The sequence below is a fragment of the Homo sapiens genome, chromosome 3 (assembly GCF_000001405.40).
Source record: "Homo sapiens chromosome 3, GRCh38.p14 Primary Assembly".
Classification (NCBI taxonomy): domain Eukaryota; kingdom Metazoa; phylum Chordata; class Mammalia; order Primates; family Hominidae; genus Homo; species Homo sapiens.
The window spans coordinates 104110350-104113642 of NC_000003.12; positions in this window are offsets into that span (position 1 = coordinate 104110350).

Genomic DNA, 3293 nt, shown 5'->3' on the forward strand with positions numbered 1-3293 from the left:
CAACCCCACCTCTAACCCACAAGCCAAATTTATAAATTGTTTATTAACTCTACTATTTGAAGTTTGATAATTCATTTAATTAACTTTATATCTACATTTATTTTTCAATCCTCTCCCAATATTTTCTTAGTTATATACTTTTTTCAGCTTTTTTTGGTCTTTCTAATTCTAAAATTTGTTTAAATCTCCATTTTCCTATCTATCCATCGTAAACTCATTACTCTAAACCTTGATTATCTACAAAAGGACACAATTTCCACTCTTACTACTTTCTTGTTCAATCTTCCCTGCCCCTAAATTTTATCTGGTGTCCATTATATTTAACAATTATCATAGCCAAGATATTGACATGCATGTGTATAATTAGTTTATCTATACAATTAATCTATGCTTTAACTATAATTTGATTTAAAAAATCAATGTGATATGGTGACATAACAAGAAATATATATTTGATCTTCCTCTCTGGTTCTTGGCACAGAGTTTCTAAAATCTTTGTAACCTCAGGAGTGTTAAGATTGATAGGAGTGTAATTTTATATTCATAACAAGTCCCTTTTAATCACACCTGAGTTGGTGTCTGGAAGTTCCTAGATGACTTCAGGATGGGGCTGGTTGACAGAAAAAGCAATCATGTGATTAGAGGTTTGGAAATTTCAGCTCCATTCATGGGGGACTTCAGGGAGAAGAGAAATTCTGGGAGTTGCATTTATCACCTAAAGCCAATAATTTAACCAATCATGCCTAATTATATAGTGCCTACATAAAAACCCTAAATGAAGGGATTCAGAGAGCTTTCACATTGGTGAAAGCATCCATGGGCTGAGAGAATGGCCCTAACTCTCTGGGACAGAAGCTCCTGCCTTCAGGACCTTTCCAGACCTCTTCCTATCCGCCTCTTCATCTGGGTATTCTTCTGTATGCTTTATAATATCCTTGATTTTAAACCATTCAATGTAAGCAAATTCTTTTTCTGCCTTTTATCAGCTGTTCTAATAAATTGTGAAACATAAGGAGGGTGACATGAAACTCCTAATGATGTGTAGCCAATTGATCAAAAGTATGGATGGCCTGGACTTGTAATGGGCATCTGAAGCAGGAGCAGTCTTGTGAGACTGAGCCTTTATCCTGTGGGTTGTTACATGAACTCTGGATAGTTTGCATCAGAATTGAATTGAGTCTAGTTGGTTTCCAGTGAGTTCCAATAGTGGATGTTAATATGAGAAAACACCACACATTTCGTGTAAGAAGTTTTGTGAGTAGAAATGTATCATAGTAATAGTAGTTTGTCTCAAAAGTATGATTTACTAGACTGGCTTTGAATCAAGGAAATGTGTTTTGGGAAGAGAAATGATAAAAAGTCAGAAGATAATAGTTGGTTCCTGGATGAATACCTAGTCACCCATGGTATAAAACTGTAGCTGTACTGTAATCTGTTACTAAAAGTAAAAATTATTGATTGAACTTAGAAGTGCTGGTAGACCTGGCTTTCATGTAGTTGGCTTATGGGATTTTTAAGAAAAAGTAAAATAGTAAGAAACATGTTAAACATAAAATCCCTTTGTAATTGTTACCTGCAGTAGCTAAGGTGAATGATGCTAAAACAAGCTCAGATTTTGACCAGCCTAAACTTAAACCACTGGCCTCAAAGTTGACCACAAAGGAATAAATTATGCCAGGACAACAGAAAGTACCTCTAAGACCTCTAGTCACCACTAAGACAATCAAGGTGGCGGTGGTGGGTGGTGGTATGAAGAAACTACCAAAACCAGGAGAGAAGAGTGTAAAAAATGTATCATTTTATAAACTAATATCATCAGCTTCTTTTTTGAAAGGAAAATTTATTAATGAAATCTTTATTAAAATAAATTGTGATAGACTAATTTAAGGGAAATGTGTGTAAGCCCATTTCTGTTACTATAACTGAATACCTGAGAATGGGTAATCTATTAAAAAACTGAATATCCTTAAAGTTCTGGATGCTGGGAAATCCAACATCTAGAAGCTGCATCTGGTGAGGACCTTCTTGCCAGTGAGGACTCTGTGGAACCCCAAGGCAGTACAGGGAATCACAGAGTGAGGATGGTGAAGGTGAGAGCTTAGGTCTCTCGTCTTTTTTTTTATACAGCCACCTGTCCTAGTCCCACTCCCATCACAGTCCATTAATTCAGTCACTTATTAATCTATTAATCAATGAATGGATTAATCTATTCATAAGAAATGAGCCCTGAGTGCCCAATTACCTCTTAAAGGCTCACTTCCCAATATTGTTACATTGGGGATTAAGTTTCAATATAAGTTTTGATGGAGCCAAACATTTAAAGCATTGGACAATGTTTTTGGTTTTTAATGCTGCAGAGTAGAAGAGAATGCTTGGGTTGATAAACATCCTGTAGTTAGAGAAAATGATATTTGTGTGCTGTTTAGCCTATGACTTATTTTATTGAGTATTATGCTTATAAAATTTGTTTAAGAGAGGAGACCAAGATGGCCAAGTGGAAGCAGCTGCAGTCCACAACACTCACAAAGAAGAACAAAAGTGTCGAGTGGGTACAGCACCTTCAACCAAAATATCCAGGTACTTGTATTGGGACTGATCAGGGAAGCAACTCAACTATGGAGAATGAGGAAAAGCAGAGCAGGATGACAGCCCACCCAAGAGTGACACAGAGCCAAGGAAACACCCACTCCCAGCCAAGGAAGGTGGTAAGTAAATGAGCGACTCTGGGAAACCACACTTCTTCCATGGATCTTCACAAGCCTCAGATCAGGAGGTCCCCTTGTGAGCCCACACCACCAGGGCCTTGAGTCTGATACACAGAGCTGTATGGAGTCACGGCAGAGCATCTGCTCAGGCATGCACAGATACCCAGGAGCTTTACATACTCCTGGGATCCCTCACAAAGGTGACTGCAACTCAGGTAAGGTGGGACATCTGTACATACCCCTAGGAAGGGTGCCAAATCCAGGGAGCCAATCAGCATAGATCTGAGGTCCCCACGTCCATGGCACCTCACAAGATAAGACCCACAGGCTTGGAATTCCAACGAGCCACTGGCAACAAGTGGAACCTGCCTGAGGCAGGACAGAGCTCCCAATGTGGGGAGGGCGGGCCACCATCTTTGATGTTTGGTCCACTCTGTCGTTCCAGTATGTGGCCTTTGGAGAGTCTAAATGGTCCAGACAAGGAAGGGTCCCCCCAGCACAGCACAGCTGCTCTACCAGAACATAACCAGACTGCTTTTTTAAGTGGGACCCTATTCCATTCCTCCTGACTGCATAGGACCTCCAGGC